General features: G+C 39.2%; 1 annotated feature.

Annotated features, from left to right (window-relative positions):
* Positions 452–541: a silencer, noted in NCBI's record as "silent region_16167". NCBI's record gives its function as "represses an Ori minimal core promoter by ATAC-STARR-seq in GM12878 lymphoblastoid cells {active_cell/tissue: GM12878}" and the evidence as "EXISTENCE:reporter gene assay evidence [ECO:0000049][PMID:35858748]".

The raw sequence follows: 1014 nt of genomic DNA on the forward strand, positions 1-1014 counted from the left end.
GGGGAGAAGAGTGTGCACTGGCAGAAGGAGAGATGGCACAAAGGTATTTAAAGGTATGCCATGTTGATACAGAAGGCCAGATTGCAGTATGGTTGCAGCAGAGCAGGAACAAACATTCGTGGAGTACTTTGTGTTAACTTCTATGTACTGTGTTTTACAGGATTTTTCTCATTTACTGTTCACATACATCCTATGAGGTTGATATCATAGGCAAGAAAGCTCTGATACTCAAACAAGTTAAATTATCTGCCTTGGGTCACAAAGCTGGTGTAGGATAACTTTTGGAAAAGCAATCTCACTGGAAAAGCCAGACTGCAATTTGCTGAGGAAAACTTGTGGACCAGAGACCAGGGGTCACCTACAAGCTAAATAAAATGTATGGAAAGTATGCTTAAAATGTTTCATTTTGTTGCTAACATTTAAAAATCAGGAACAAAGACTTTAGATTTCTGACTTTTCTTTAAGAACTGAGAATCTATCCACATGGGTGCTGTACCACCTCACAGCCAAGGCACTGCTGCCCCCTTTAGGTGGGACTTACGCTCTCCTTTCTGTGGGAGTTCCTCCACTCATTATTGCAAATGTACTGCTTCACTTTACGCATTACGGCCTACATAGGTATTTGAATTCATTTATATACTAATTGTATTCATCCTGGAGTGTTATGACATGGTGGCATGGGTGTGATCAGTGAGAGAGAAAGGAGTACAGTCTTAGAAACTCAATGTGATTTGACCACCACATGTTGAGAACTACGCTCCAAACCACTTCTCTGGCAATTAATCCTGTACTCCATGCCTACTATAATGTCTCTTGCAGAGTTTTCTTGTGCTATAAATGCTAAGTGCCATATGATAAGTGGTGTGATAATAAACGCTTAGGGTTTCAGAGGAGGGCACAATTATTTCTGCAATCATTAAGACAAAAAATTATAAAAGTTGAATTGAAATTTTATAAGAGAAGACAAACCATTACATATGGAAGGAAAATCACAGGAAAAAGCATAAACTTAGG

Source organism: Homo sapiens, chromosome 5 (genome assembly GCF_000001405.40).
Source record: "Homo sapiens chromosome 5, GRCh38.p14 Primary Assembly".
In the NCBI taxonomy this organism is placed as follows: domain Eukaryota; kingdom Metazoa; phylum Chordata; class Mammalia; order Primates; family Hominidae; genus Homo; species Homo sapiens.